Raw genomic sequence first — 15785 nt, forward strand, 5'->3', positions numbered from 1 at the left:
AAGTATCGAGCTTTTTAATAAAGCCCCACAATTTTATATTCAAATTGAAAAAGTAAACATGCAAAAATAGCTAAGAAAATAATAAAAAAAAAAGGAGGGGGGATTCTAGCCTTACCAGATACTAAAACTACAAGAAAGTTTCCTTTTCTTTTTTTTTTTTTTTTTTTTTGATTCTCCTGCCTCAGCCTCCCGAGTAGCTGGGACTACAGGCATGCGCCACCATGCCCAGTTAATTTTGTATATTTAGTAGAGACAGGGTTTCACCATGTTAGCCAGGCTGATCTCGAACTCCCGACCTCAGGTGATCTGCCCACCTTGGCCTCCCAAAGTGCTGGGATTACAGGCGTGAGCCACCGCGCCCGGCCCTAAAACTACAAGAAAGTTTCTATAATTAAAACTATGTGGGCAGGGAGTGGTGGCACACGCCTATAATCCAGAGGCAGGCAGATCACCTGAGGTCAGGAATTCAAGACCAGCCTGAACAACATCGAGAAACTTTGCTTCTACTAAAAATACAAAATTAGCCAGGCATGGTGGCGGATGCCTGTAATCCCAGCTACTTGGGAGGCTGAGGCAGGAGAATCGCTTGAACCTGGGAGGCAGAGGTTGCAGTGAGCCAAGATTGCACCATTGCACTCCAGCCTGGGCAATGAGGGCGAAACTCCATCTCAAAAAAAAAGAAAAAAAACAACTATGTGGCACTGGTGCATGCACACACCATTTGAAATATAAACAAAGTCTAGAAATACACCCAAGTAGAAAAAGAAATATAGTATATGACAAGATGTTATCTCAATACTAGGACAAAGATGGCATTTTAAAAAATTATATAAAGGGCTGGGCGCGGTGGCTCACGTCTGTAATCCTGGCACTTTGGGAGGCTGAGGTGGGCAGATCACTTGAGGCCAGGAATTCGAGGCCAGCCTGGCCACATGATGAAACCCCATCTCTACTAAAAATACAAAAAATTAGCTGGGCATGGTGGCGCACGCCTGTAATCCCGGCTATTTGGGAGGCTTAGGCACAAGAATTGCTTGAACCCAGGAGGCAAAAGTTGCAGTGAGCCAAAATCGTGCCACTGCTCTTCAGCCTGGATGACAGAGCGAGACTGTTAAAAAAAAAAAAAAGTATATAAAGGATAGCCTTTGGGGGAAAAAAAAAAGGTAACGTTTGATCCATTGCTAACACTCTACACATAAATTAACTTCAAATGAATTCAAGACCTAAATGTAAAAAATAATACTACATAAATACCAGAAGAAAGCATAAGAGAATTCTTCTATAATCTGGGTTTAGGAAAAGCTTCCTGACTATGACTAAAGTCCAGATCCAATAAAAGAAAAGATTAACCAATTGGACTGTATTTAAAAGCTTTAAAAAAATTTTTTTAACTTAAAGAAATTTAAAGAAACAAAGTCACAAGACAAATGACAAACTAGGAGAAAATGTTTACAACCTAATTGCTTGAGAAAGATATTCAAGGTAGTTATTTAATGCTTAGGAAGTACCTTAAAGTTGATTTAGTCTTGATCCTCATTTTACAGATAAGGAAACCAGAACGTTGGGGGCATACTTTTGTTTCTTAAATAGTGATTTTAATTTATTTAATGTTGAATGACATTTACTATTTTGCTAGTATCTAATGACACTAGATATACAAACAATTGTATTCATTCATTCAACAAATATTTCCTGAGGCTTGTACTGCTGGTGGTTGAGATACATGAGACAGAAAGGCAGACACAGCCCTAGCTGTCCTGGTTATACGGATACGTTCTGATAGGACCCAAACATATAAAACAAATAATTATTTAATTTCCATTGTGATGTGCTACAAAGTAGAGGCACATAGTTGCATTCTTATGTAGAGACCCAGACAGTTTCTAATGTTAAGGAAATAAATGTTAAATAAAAATTGAAGAATTTTAAAGAATCATTCATATGTAGAGTGAAATGATTCTTACCATTTTCAGAGTTAGAAAACTGAGGTGCTCCAAATTCTCTCATTTGAGAATGTTTTTCATTGTGATCTTTGTTTGCTAAATCAAAAGCACATAAAAGAGAAGTTGAACAAGAAGAAATTCAGCAAGCTTATTTACTGTAATAGTCTATCATTAGGTCAAGTGTTCAATTGACCAAATCAGAATCGAAAACATACAAAAGGGAAACATAAAAATTTAAATAATCTTATATATAAAAATCACATTTGTGTGTGTGTGTGTGTGTGTGTGTGTGTGTATATGTATATAAATGAAACATAATACCAGAGGTATTCAGGTACTCTATTAAGTCTCTGTCCCCTTGAAATGTAAAAGTTTTCACATTCCAAAGCCTGTTCCTTCCTTGGTGGAGCTGTTCTCATTCTAGGTCATTTTATACTTGTTCTGCCTGATCTCCATGCCTTGACACTCTGACACAGTGGATGTTCATTTTACATGGAATGAATGAATATGGCCTACAATTTTATTATTGTTTAATTGACAAAAGTATATAATCTGTCACATACAACATGTTGTTTTGATATATGTAATACATTGCGAAATAGCTAAATTTAGCTAATTAACATTTGTATTGAACACTGCTCTCTTAACAATTGGTTGTCGTTGTTGTTTTTGAGACAGAGTCTTGCTCTGTCGCCCAGGCTGGAGTGCAGTGGCACAATCTCAGCTCACTGGAATCTCCACTTCTGGGGTTCAAGTGATTCTCCTGCCTCAGCCTCCCAAGTAGCTGGGATTACAGGCATGCGCCACCACACCTGGCTAATTTTTATATTTTCAGTAGAGATGGGGTTTTGCCATGTTGGCCAGGCTGATCTTGAACTCCTGACCTCAAGTGATCCTCCTGCCTCGGCCTCCCAAACTGCTGGGATTACAGGTATGATCCACCATGCCCAGCCTCTCTTAACAATTTTCAAGAATATATTGTTATTAAATACAGTCACCACGTTTTACAATAGATCTTTTGAACTTACTCCTCCCGGTCTAGTTGAAATTTTGTATCCTTTGGCCATCCCCCCAGTTCCCTCCCCACAACTACCTACCACTCTACTCTCTACTTCTATGAGTTCAACTTTTTAGATTCCACATGTAAGTGAGATCATGTGGTATTTGTCTTTCTGTGGCTTATTTCACTTTGCATAATGTCCTCTGGGTTCATTCATTTAGTCACAAATGACAGGATTTCCTTCTTTTTGAAGGCTGAATAGTATTCCATTGTGTACACATACCATAATTTTATTTATCTGTTCATCTGTTGATGAACACTTACAATGATTCCATATCTTGGCTATTGTGATTAAGGATATGCTTTACTTTTTTTTTGAGAAAGGGTCATGCTCTGTTACCCAGGATGGAGTGCAATGGTGTGATCAGAGCTCACTACAGCCTCCAACTCCCAGGCTCAAGAGATCTTCCCACCTCAGTAGCTGGGACTCATCCCAAGTAGCTGGGACTATAGGTGTGTGTCACCATACCTGAATAATTTTTTTAAATTTTTTGTAGAAACAGGGTCTCACTATGTTACCCAGGCAAGTTTTGAACTTCTGGGCTCAAGCAATCCTCCCACCTTGGCCTCCCAAAGTGCCAGGATAACAGGTGTGAGCCACCATACCTGGACAAGGATATGGTTTACTGTTAATAATTTGTACATATTTGTGGGGCACATGTGAAATTTCGCTATGTGTATATAATGAGTAGTGGTCAAGTCAGGGTATTTAGTGTGTTTGTCATCTGAGTACAATATATTTTTGTTAAGTATAATAACCGTACTCTGCTATCAAACTTGATACATTCCTTCTATTTCACTGTTTGTTTGTATCCTGTAACTTACCTCTTAATCCTCCTCACTGCCGCCACCACTCACCCTTTCCAGTCTTTTATCTATTTTTCTACTCTCTACCTGAATGTGATCAAAATTTTTAGCTCCCACATATAAGTGAGAATGTATGATATTTGTCTTTTTGTGCCTGGCTTATTTCACTTAAGATAATGACCTCCAGTTCTATCCATGTTGCTGCAAATAATAGGATTTCATTCTTTTTATGGCTGAATGGTATTCCATTGTGTATATATACTACTTTTTCTTTATCCATTCATCCATTGATGGACACTTAGGGTTGATTCTATATCCTTGCTATTATGAATACTAATGCAATAATCGTGCAAGTGCAGGTATCATTTTGATATATTAATTTATTTTTCTTTGGATAGATAACCACTAGTGGATTACTGGATCAAATAATTATATTTTTAATTTTATGAGCAATCTCTATACTGTTTTTCATAGTGGCTATACTAGTTTACATTCCCACCAACAGTGTATAACAGTCCTCTTTTCTCTGCATCCTCACCAGCATCTGTTATTGTTTGTCTTTTTAATAATAGCCTTTCTGACTAGGGTAAGCTGATATCTCACTGTGGATTTGATTTGCATTTCCCTGATGATTAGTGATGTTTAGCACTGTTTCATATACCTATTGACCATTGGTATGTCTTCTTTTGAGAAATGTCTACTATTCATGTCCTTTGCCCACTTTTTAATGTTTATTTTTCTTGTTGAATTATTTGAGTTCCTCGTATATTCTGGATATTAGTCCCGTGCTGGAAGAACAGTTTGCAAATATTTTATCCCATTGAAGAGATTGTAGCTACACTGTTGATAATTTATTTTGCTGTGCAGAAGCTTTTTAGTTTAATTAAGTCCCTTTTATCTATTTTTGGTTTTGTTCTCTGTGCTTTTGAGGTCTTAGTTGTAAATTTTTTGCCTAGAAAAACATCCAGGAGCATTTTCCTTAGGCTTTTCCCTCATATTTTAATAGCTTTGCCTCTCATATTTAAGTCCTTGATCCATTTTGAGTTGATTTTGTATATGGTGAGAGATAGGGGTCCAGGTTCATTGTTCTACATGGGGCTATTAAGGATATGGTCTACTTTTAATTCAAAGGCTGCTTTATACTTTTTTTTTTTTTTTTTTTAGATGGAGTGTCACTCTGTTGCCAGGCTGGAGTGCAGTGGCACGATCTCGGCTCACTGCATTCTCCGCCTCCCAGGTTTAAGCGATTCTCCTGCCTCAGCCTCCAGAGTAGCAGGGATTACAGGTACGCACTGCCACAGTCAGCTAAGTTTTTTTTTGTATTTTTAGTAGAGATGGGATTTCACCATGTTGGCCAGGATGGTCTCCATCTCCTGACTTGGTGATCTGCCCGCCTTGGCCTCCCAAAGTGCTGGGATTACAAGTGTGAGCCACCGCGCCTGGCCTGCTGCTTTATTCTTTTAAAAACTGCCCATAGCAATAAGCAGCATCTCCACATTTTTCACTTAAACTAGAGCTTGACTAGTAATGATCTCACAGGAAAAGAAAGATCATACATATGGCAAAAGATAGCATACTCTTTTGTGATCAAAACAGCGCTGTCTTGTGTGTTTTTAAATGTTTTAAACATTTAAAAAGTCAAATATACAAACCAAAACCTCCACAGGCAAAACTCTACTAAAAAATTACTTCCAAGTTTTGAGCCTATATATCAAGACAAAAATAATTGTGCCCTATTGCAACAATGGGAGCCAGTTTTTGAGAGTCAGTTTTCTAATACTCCAGTCTGTATACATTGGATTCCATCTCTATGTCATTGGTTTACTCAGTATAGACACACATAGAGACAAAAAAAGTATATGATTTTTATACTTTCTAACATCTTCAACTATTATGAGGGCCATTTTAAAAAATGAAATGTAAATTTCTCCTACATACAAGGGTGGAAAGTGTTGCTGTATAGAGAGCTTAAAGGATGTAATACATCTAAGGACAAAGTAATAGCTCTATTACACTATTATTAAAATTCTATGCTCAGTTTGGGATACTATAAAAGAATATGGGAAAAGTAAAAAAAGGTAAAAACAACCAAAGTAATTAAAAGGAAAACACATTTAAAAAGGAAGATTTAAGTAAATCAGGCTGATTTAACCTTAAGATAAGGAAGCTAAAGGATGAATTAGATTTTAAGTTCAGATACATAATATAAAAATGTTAGAAATGTACAGAAGATTTAAAAATTTTCAAATGGACTTTATCAGTAAAGATTTTAGTTGAATATAGGAAAAAAAATAGAGGAGAAAATCTAGAAATGGAAAAGATTTCAGAGGTGGCTGGAGAAATAAGTGAGAAGAATAATCCTGGTTGTGGGGAAGGGAACAGGTATTGGTGATGCAGAGGCAGAGTCACAGCAAGGAAGGTTTCAGGCTATAGAAATAGAGTTTGGGGAATGGAGAGATGTGTTAAAGGATCTTTAAGGAAATGCTGCTGGATAAGATGAAGGGTAACCTCAGTCCTCTCTCTTCCCCAGACATTTTCAGTAATGATCTGCTTTACCTTACAGTGCTTTTGGTATGGATTCATGTAGTTTGGTTTCATTTTATTTTAATGCTACAGATGCATGAAATTGGGATTAAGATAGGCAGATGAGTGAGAAAGGTCTAGCTCAAAGGCTTAGTTTTTTATTCCATTATATGAAACACCATTTGAGTGAATACCTCAGAGCATAAATGTTTGAGGGCATTTCTAATTACTTCCTCAGTAGAGTTCTTAAAGTAAAATTTCTCAAAGTCTGGGATGTTTACATTCTTCAGAAAATTTGTCCCATCCTTGCTAAATCTATAAAATACACTTTTTTCTCTGTTCTCCTGGCTTCTCTACATAAAATATAGGTTTAATGCATTGCTGGACTTGTTAGAAGTAAACAACAACAAAAATGTAAGCTGAAACCAGAGCTAGGAAAGAGAAGCAGCAAGCGAAGAAGAAAGGCAGGTGTGCTGTGGGCAATGCCTGTGCTGACACGGCCAGACAAGGCCCTTGGCAAACGCAAGGAAACTGAGCCGAGCCCACAATTCTACATTAAAATAGGCTCTGGAAGAGGGTTAAAGTGGTCACCAGGCTGTGAGTATTCCTTGACTCTGGGAAGAAGCAGTATGAATTTTCTTTTGCAAAAAATTATCTAGGCCTCTAGGAGTCCCACAGATTAAGAGCAAACAAATATTGGCTGGTATTCACAAATCACTAAAGAAACAAGCTACCACAAGAATGCTGGGGTAAACCAACAAATAATAGATTTAGACCCCCCAAGGACTTCAGATATTTGTATTTTTGGATATGGATGTGAGTCAAAAAGTGAGAAAGAACAAGGGACTATAAAAATTAGGCAAATTAATAAAACAACAAATAGAACTTTTATAAATAAAAAGTATAGTTGTTGGGGAAAGAATCCTCGATGTATACATTAAACAGTAGATTAGATGCAAGAGGAGACAATTAGTGAGAAACAGATCTGAAGAACTTACCTAGAATGTACTGTAGAGGGAAAGGGGGATGAAAACATGACAGAGAAGTTAAAATATATGAGGAATTAATGAAAAGGTTCACCATAAGCTTATTAGAGTTCTGGAAGCAGAAAATAGAGAAAATGGAGGAGAGAGACTATTTTTAAAGATAATAGTTGAGTCATGCATATTTTATCACACTAAAAAAAATAATGGTTGAGCAGTTTCCAGAACTAGTAAAAGGCACAAATAAAAGAAATACAATTTATACCAGCAAAAATTAAAAAATAAAAATTGCACATTTAGACACACTGTACTGAAAGAGCAGAATACCAAAAACAAAGAGCATATCCTAAAAACGGCCAGATACAGAAATTGAATTAGAGCAAGACTCTGTCTCAAAAAAAGAAAAAAAAAGTATCTAAACTAAAGGAGGTAGTCAAGGAGAAAGGAAAATGAACTCACAATGAAGATCTGAAATATAGAAAGAAATAGTAAGACAGGAAAAATATTGGTAAATCTCAATTTTTTTAATAAAACAAGAATGATGTTCTAATTTGTAGAAAAGTAGAAAAATCAGAAATGGAAATAAAATGTATAACTTTCAAATCAGTAAATGGCAGGGGTTGGGGAGGATGAAGAAAACTTTTAAAACAAATGAAAAAAAACCTCAAATAGTTCAAAATGAACCAAAACAGGAGACAAAATAATGGGATTGGAAGGACAAAACAAATGGAAAACAGAAAATACAGGTCCAAATATAGTGACAATAAACAAATGGGCTAAACTCGCCAGTTAAAAGAATGAGAAGTTGACATACTGGGCTTTAAAAAAAAAATCCAACTAAACCTTGTTTATGAGATGTATCTCAGTTATAAGGACATGGTGAGGGCTAGGCATGGTGGCTCACACCTGTAGTCCCAGCACTCTGGGAGTCCAAAGCAGGCAGATCACCTGAGGTCAGGAGTTCGAGACCAGCCTGGCCAACATGGCCAGACCCCATCACTACTAAAAAATTAGCTGGGTGTGGTGGTGGGTGCCTGTAATCCCAGCTACTCAGGAGGCCGAAGCAGGAGAATCTCTTGAACCCAGGAGGCAGAGGTCGTAGTGAGCTGAGTTTGCACCACTGCACTCCAGCCTGGGCGACAGAGCAAGACTCGATCTCAAAAAAAAAAAAAAAAAAAAAAAGAGAACATGGGAAGATTGAAAGGAAAAGGATGGAAAAGGGTTACTAAGAAAACATTATTTAATAAAAGAAAGCTAGTTATGCTCTACTAATATAAAGAAGACTTTAAGCCAAAAATCATTATTATTATTGAGACAGGTTGTCACTCTGTCGACCATGCTGGAGTGCAGTGGAGCAATCTTGGCTCACTGCAGCCTCTACCTACCCACACTCAACTGATCGTTCCTCCTCAGTTTCTGGAGTAGCTGGGACTACAGGTGCACGCCACCACACCTGCCTAATTTTTTGTAGAGACGGGGTTTCACCATGTTGCCCAGGCTGGTCTCGAACTCCTGGGCTCAGGCCATCCGCCTGCCTGAGCCTCCCAAAGTGCCGGGATTACAGGCATGTGCCACCACGCCTGGCCCAAAAAGTATTATTAAAGCCAGAAAGGGTCACTATATAACAATAAAAAATTAATTCACCAAAAAGATATAAAAATTCTAAACTTGTATATACCCCTGTAGAAAGTAAAAAGTTTCTTCTTCAAATTTTCCTTCTCATTAAAAAAATAAATCATAAGTGTTAAAAATAATAGTTTCTTTTAAAGACTAACTTCCTTCAAGCCTCCTTGCTTTGTGCTAATAACTCTTTGTTAAGCCCTAATGTAACTGTTAGACATGCTCACAGGCACGTAGTACATTCTGTATCCTTGCACCTCACCCAAGATATTTGTGCTGGACATGCTTACAGGCACATTCCAGCTCACAGCCTAAGACCCCTCCCCTATTTGGCATAAGCAACTTCCTCTTTTCCTATATTCTCCCTTGCCTTTACCTATTTAGAAAAATTTTAAACCGTTAGCCAATCGGGTTCAGTTTAGATTGTGAGGTCTGGCTCCAGCCAATGGAGACAGGACACAGTAGCAGGGACAAGCTGTGTAAGGGATAAAAATTACTTCCTCCCTTTGTTCAGGTGTGCTCTCACCATTGTTCCATCTGCGATGAGCACCCTTTCTACAAAAAGTAAAAATTGTCTTACTAAGAAAATTAAATTTATGTTCAAATGCTGTTTCTTTGTGGCACCAAGAAACAAACATTCCTAACACCCCCTACCCCCAGATCCTCAAAATACATCAAGTAAAAGACTACAGGACAAAGTTGAAAATCCAATTTAACAGTGGAAGATTTTAAAACACATTTCTCAACACGTAAACAAAAATTAGTAAAGATATAGAAGACGTAGAGCAACACAAATAACAAGCTTGATTTAACAGATATAACCGGCTCCTGCATTCAACAGTTTGAGTATACATTCTTCTCAAGCAACATGAAACATTTACAAAACTTGGCTACTTTGTTATTCCCTAAAGAAAAAGTTCCAATAATTCAAATAATTAGTGTCATAAGAACACATTCTCTGACCGTGATGCAACTTGGTTAAAATCAATAACAAAAAGATGAATTTTTCTATTTCCATAATTTGGCAATTTCAGAAACACACTTCCAAATCACTCATGGTCATGAGTCATGGAAGATGGAATGAAAATTTTTAAATAACTGAAATTGAATGATAATGAAAATACTATATATCAAAATGTATGGACCTTCATACAATGGATTCATTAATAAAAAGGAAGGAAATCCTGATACAAGCCCCATCATGGATGAACCTCAAAAGCATTAAATGAAGTGAAAGAAGCTAGACATGACAAGACCACATATTAGATGATTCTACTTACAAATGTCCAGAAAATACAAATTCATACAGACAAAAAGTACAGTAGTGGTTAGCTAGGGGTGGGAACAGGGATTATTGCAAATGGGCATAAGAGAGCTTACTGAGGGGATGAAAATGTTCTAAAATTGATTAATGGAAATGGTAGTGCCACTCAGTAATAAATTAAAAATCACTGACTTATACACTTGAAATGAGTGAGTTTCATAATACATAAAGTATATCTTGATAAAGCTGTTTTAAAAGAAAACTTGTAAGATATAGGAAAATTAAAATTTTGAGGGAATATAGCCTTAAAGAAAGAAAGAAAGAAAGATGGCTGGGCATGGTGGCTCACATCTGTAATCCCAGCACTTGAGCAGGCTGAGGCAGGAGATCACTTGAGGCCAGGAGTTCAAGACCAACCTTGGCAACAAAGCAAGACAACAACAACAACAACAAACCAGAAAGAAAAACATCAAAGTAAAGAGAAGAAAATAATAAATATAGGAACTAAAATTTATAAAACCAAAAATATTCAATAGAGAGGATTAACAAAGCCAAAAGTTGGTTTGCTAAAAGAATAATAATAATAAACCATTGGCAAGATTAATCAAGAAAAAAGGGAGAAGGAACAAATGAATATCTGAAATTTAAAAGGGGAGATAACTACTGACATGGCAAAATTTAAAAGATAAAATAATAGCATGAATAGATGTTGAGACTACGGCAATGTTCGTTATATTTCCTTTGTGACTTAAAAAAAAGTTCTGTATTTGTGGGGTATAGGATCATACGCAAATGTAATTAGTTAACCTTTTGAACACATTTTGAAGCTAGGTTAGGTATACGAGTTCATGATTACAACGGTCTCTTACATTGTTTCTTTTATCCGTATGATCTATTTATGTGTGTACTTGAAAATACCTCGGCCAGGCACTGTGGCTCACGCCTGTAATCCCAGCACTTCGGGAGGCTGAGCCGAAAGCTCCAGCCAGCCAGCCAGCCAAGGAAGTGCTTACATCACCCCTCCTCCAATCCCAGGCAGTGCAGCTTACAGCTCCAGGGGAAACTCCTTTCCGCTTGAGGAGGGGAGAAAGGAGAGTAAAGGGGACTTTGTCTTGCAACTTGGATACCAGCTCAGCCACAGTAGGATAGGGGACAAGGTAGAGTCCCAAGGCCCTCATTCCAAGCCCTAGCTCCCAGATCACATTTTTAGACATACCCAGGGCCAGAAGGGAATGCGCTGCCCTTAAAGGGAAGGACCCAGTCCTGGAAGAATTTATCAAATCCTTCCGAAGGCGGATTGCTTTGAGCCCAGGAGTTTGAGATCAGCCTGGGCAATATGGCGAAACCCAGTCTCCAAAAAAAATACAAAAAATAGCTGGGTGAGGTAGCACACACCTATAGTCCCAGCTACTCGGGAGGCTGAGGTGGGAGGATCACCTGAACCTGGGAAGTCAAGGCTGCAGTGAGCCATGATTGCACCACTGCACTCCGACGTGGCTGACAGGAGTGAGACTCTGTCTCAAAAAAAAAAAAAGAAGAAAAGGTAAAAAAAAGAAAATATTTTTTCTTTTATTTATTGGTCACCTACTATGTGCTATGGAGTTTCTCAATATTACCTCTATCCCTAATGTCCCTGGTAAGATAGGCATAAATAACTCCTATTTCAGATGAGACAACTGAGAGAGCCATAAATGATGTTTTAAAAAGCCAGGATCCAAACTCAGATTTTTCTGTTTTCAAAGCCTGTACTCTTCCTTACCACAGTGGTTCAAATATATGTCGACTGTATATATAACATGTATTTATTTTTTAAAGATAACACAAATTTCAGTATGAGGGAAAACTCAAAACTTAATCATGCAACCCTATAAACTGGACTTTTGCGTTTAAAAGCACCTATCTTTGGGGAGAGGAGGCAGGGCAAGCTGGCTTAATAGAACTCTCCAGCCATCATTTCCCCCCTGTACCCCACAGGAACAACAAATTGAACAATTATCCATACAAGAAAGAACCTTCATAACAACCAAACATCGGGTGAGAGATCACAGTACCTGGTTTTAACTACGTATCACTGAAAGAGGCACTGAAGAAGATAGGAAAGACAGTCTTGAATTGCCAACACCACCATTCCACCATCTCTTGGCAGTGGCCACATGGTGTGGAGAGAGAATCTGTACTTGTGGGAGGGAGAGTGCAGTGATTGTGGGACTTTGCATTAGAACTCAGTGCTGCCTGCCACAGCTGAAAGCAACATGGGGCAGAATTCAGCCAGTACTCACAGAGGGGGCAGTTAGACCAGCCCCAGCCAGAGGGGAACCACCCATCCCACTGGTCAGAATCTGAGTTCCAGCAAGCCCCACCATGGCAAGCTAAAGCACTCTGGGGTTCCAAATAAACTTGAAAGGCAGTCTAGGCCACAAGTACTGCAATTCCTGGGCAAGCCCTGGTGTTGTGCTGGGCTTGGAGCCAGTGGAGTTAGGGTACATGTGACCTAGTGAGATACCAGCCAGCCAGCCAGCCAAGGAAGTGCTTACATCACCCCTCCTCCAATCCCAGGCAGTGCAGCTTACAGCTCCAGGAGAAACTCCTTTCTGCTTGAGGAGAGGAGAAAGGAGAGTAAAGGGGACTTTGTCTTGCAACTTGGATACCAGCTCAGCCACAGTAGGATAGGGGACAAGGTAGAGTCCCAAGGCCCTCATTCCAAGCCCTAGCTCCCAGATCACATTTTTAGACATACCCAGGGCCAGAAGGGAATGCACTGCCCTAAAGGGAAGGACCCAGTCCTGGAAGGATTTATCATCTGATGACTAAGAGACCCTGGGCCCTGAATAAACATCAGCAGCACCCAGGCAGTACTCACCATGGGACTTGGGTAAGACCCAGGGCTGTGCCGGCTTCAGGTGTGACCCAGTGCATTCTAAGCTATGGTGCCCACAGGGAGAGACTTCCTCTGCCTGAGGTAAGGAGAGGAAAGAGTAAAGGAACTTTTTATTGCAGCTTGGGCACCAGCTTGGCCACAGTGGGGTAGAGAACCAAGAAGTCACCTGGGGTAGTCAGTTCTAGCCCTTGGCTTCTGGATGGCATTTCTGGACCTGCCCTGGGCTAAAGGGGAGCCCACTACCTTGAAGGGAGAGTCCTAAAAATGGCAGCATTCACCACAAGCTGACTGAAGAGCCTTTGGGCCTTGGGTGAGTATCAGCGATAGCCAGGCAGTACCTGCTGCAGGGAGAGACTCCTTCCGCATGAGGAAAAAAGAGGGAAGAGTGGGAAGGATTTTGTCTTACAGCTTGGGTGCCAGCTCAGCTGGTGTAGAATCGAGAACCAAGTAGATTCCTAAGGTTCCTGACTCTAGGCCCTGGCTCCCAGATGGCATTCTGGGATCTGCTCTAGGCTGGGGAGTAGCTTGCCACCCTGAAGAGAACGACACAAGCCAGGCTGGATTTGTTTCCTGCTGATGGTAGAGCCCTTGGGCCTTGAGTGAATATTGGCAGTAGCCAGGCAGTGGTAACAGGAGGCCCAGGCTGAGACCCAGTATTTTGCTGGCTTTGGAGAAACTCCATGTGTTTGGGGGGAAGTAAGGGAAAAGAACAAGAGTCTCTGCCTGGGTAATACAGGGAATTCTCCCAGATCTTACCCAAGACCACCACGGCAGTATCTCTACAATTGTGCAAGAGCCACAGCATTACTGGGCTTGGGGTGCCCCTGCCAATGCAGATACAGCTACAATGACCAAAGATTTAGATGACAACAACTCAATGTTCTTTGAATACTTGGAAAACTTTCCCAAGAAGGACAGGTACAAACAAGCCCAGACTACAAAGACTATAATAAATACGTAACTCTTCAATGCCCAGACATTAACAAACATCCACAAGCATCAAGACCATACAGGAAAGCATGACCTCACCAAACAAACTAAATAGTGTACTAGTGACCAATCCTGAAGTGACAGAGATATGTGACCTTTCAGAGAGAGAATTCAAAATAGCTGTTTTGAGGAAGCTCAGCGAAATTCAAGATAACACAGAGAAGGAATTCAGAATCCTATCAGGTAAACTTAACAAAGAGGTTAAAATAACTTTTAAAAATCAAGCAGAAATTCCAGAGTTGAAAAATTCAATTGATATAGTGAAGAACGCATCAGAGTCAACAGGAGTATTGATCAAGCAGAAGAAAGAATCAGTGAGTTTGAAGACCGGTTATCTGAAAATGCAGTCAGAGGAGACAAAAGAAAAGAGAATAGGCCAGGTGCAGTACCCCACGCCTGTAATCCCAGTACTTCGAGAGGCCAAGCGGGTGGATCACCTGAGGTCAGGAGTTCAAGACTAGCCTGGGCAGCATGGAGAAACCCTGTCTCTACTAAAAATACAAAATTAACCTGGCATGGTAGTGCATGCCTGTAATTCCAGTTATTCGGGAGGCTGAGGCAGGGGAGAATCGTTTGAACCTGGGAGGCGGAGGTTGCCATGAGCCGAGATGGTGCCACTGCACTCCAGCCTGGGCAACAAGAGTGAAACTCCATCTCAAAAAAAAAAAAATTAGCTGGGCGTGGTGGCAGACGCCTGAGGCAGGAGAATCATTTGAACCCAGGAGGCAGAGGTTGCAGTGTGCCAAGATTGTGCCATTGCACTCGAGTCTGGGTGACAGATTGAAATTCTGTCTCAAAAAACAAAAACGAAAAAAGAATAAAAAACAATGAAGCATGCCTACAGGATCTAGAAGATAGCCTCAGAAGGGCAAATATAAGAGTTATTGGCTTTAAAGAGGAGGTAGAGAAAGAGATGGGGTAGAAAGTTTATTCAAAGGGGGTAATAACAGAGAATTTCCCAAACCTAGAGAAAGATACCACTATCCAAGTACAGGAAGGTTATAGAATACCAAGCAGATTTAACCCAAAGAAGACTACCTCAAGGCATTTAGTAATCAAACTCCCAAAGGTCAACGATAAAGAAAAGATCCTAAAAGCAGCAAAAGAAAAGAAACAAATCACATACAATGAAGCTCCAAAATGTCTGGCAGTAGACTTTTCAGTGGAAACCTTATAGGCCAGGAGAAAGTGGGATGACATTTAAACTGCTGAAGGAAAAAAACTTTTACCCAAGAATAGTATATCCAGCGAAAATATCCTCCAAAAATTGTTGTGGGAAGTCAGGGACCCCGAACAGAGGGACCGGCTGAAGCCATGGCAGAAGAAGATTTCATGGACATTTATTAGTTCCCCAAATTAATACTTTTATAATTTCTTATGCCTGTCTTTACTGCAGTCTCTGAACATAAATTGTGAAGATTTCATGGACACTTATCACTTCCCCAGTCAATACCCTTGTGATTTCCTATGCCTGTCTATACTTTAATCTCTTAGTCCCGTCATCTTCGTAAACTGAGGAGGATGTATGTCGCCTCAGGACCCTGTGATGATTGCATTAACTGCACAAATTGTAGAGCATGTGTGTTTGAACAATATGAAATCTGGATACCTTGAAAAAAGAACAGGATAACAGCAATGTCCAGGGAACAAGAGAGATAACCTTAAACTCTGACTGCTGGTGAGGCAGGCAGAACAGAGCCATATTTCTCTTCTTTCA

The 15785-nt window shown here is 39.6% G+C and overlaps 1 protein-coding gene across 3 annotated transcripts in view; it reads right to left on the bottom strand.

Annotated features, from left to right (window-relative positions):
• ICA1L (islet cell autoantigen 1 like) overlaps window positions 1–15785 on the bottom strand; it is a 98591-nt gene that overhangs the window by 21750 nt on the left and 61056 nt on the right. For all 3 annotated transcript variants that reach the window (NM_001288622.3, NM_138468.7, NM_001288623.2), the window contains one exon: window positions 1965–2039. In NM_001288622.3, coding sequence (NP_001275551.1) covers window positions 1965–2039 — 75 coding nt within the window. The remainder of the gene's footprint in view (window positions 1–1964; window positions 2040–15785) is intronic.

The sequence above is a fragment of the Homo sapiens genome, chromosome 2 (genome assembly GCF_000001405.40).
Source record: "Homo sapiens chromosome 2, GRCh38.p14 Primary Assembly".
NCBI classification, from domain to species: Eukaryota; Metazoa; Chordata; class Mammalia; order Primates; family Hominidae; genus Homo; species Homo sapiens.